This window comes from Homo sapiens, chromosome 14 (genome assembly GCF_000001405.40).
Source record: "Homo sapiens chromosome 14, GRCh38.p14 Primary Assembly".
Lineage (NCBI taxonomy): Eukaryota > Metazoa > Chordata > Mammalia > Primates > Hominidae > Homo > Homo sapiens.
Genome location: NC_000014.9, coordinates 19,802,915 through 19,803,769, shown reverse-complemented (window position 1 = coordinate 19,803,769; position 855 = coordinate 19,802,915).

Sequence of the window (855 nt, the reverse complement as noted above, 5' to 3'; positions counted from 1 at the left end):
CTGAAACTATTCTGAAAATTTGAGGAGGAAGGACTCCTCCCTAATTTATTCTATGAGGCCAACATCATTCTGATACTAAAACCTGGCAGAGATACAACAAAAAAAGAAAACTAGCAAAAAAAAGAAAATACTAGCAAACTGAATCCAGCAGCACATTAAAACTCTAATCCACCACAATCAAGTAGGCTTTATACTTGGAACACAAGGTTGGTTCAACATATGCAAATTAGTAAATGTGATTCACCACATAAGCAGAACTAAAAACAAAAACCGTCTAATCTTCAACAAGGCTGACAAAAACAAGCAATGGGAAAAGCACTCCCTATTCAATAAATGGTGCTGAGATAACTAGACAGCCATATGCAAAAAATGGAAACTGAACCCCTCCCTTATACCATATATGAAAATAAATCCAACATGGATTAAAGACTTAAATGTGAAACCCAAAACTATAAAAACCCTGGAAGATAACCTAGGAAATTCCATTCTCAGCATCGCCCCTGACAAAGATTTCATGACAAAGATGACAAAAGCAAAAATTAATAAATGTGAACTAATTAACCTAAAAAGCTTCTGCACAGCAAAATAAACTATCAACAGGGTAAACAGACAACCTATAGAATAGGATAAAATATTTGCAAATGCATGCCTGTAGTCCCAGCTACTCGGGACGCTGAGGCAGGAGAATTGCTTGAACCCAGGAGGCAAAAGTTGCAGTGAGCCGAGGCCGCACCACTGCCCTCCAGCCTGGTGACAGAGCGAGACTCCATCAAAAAAAAAAAAAAAAAAAGTTGTCAAGGCTGGGCACAGTAGCTCACGCCTGTAATCCCAGCACTTTGGGAAGCCAAGGCGGGT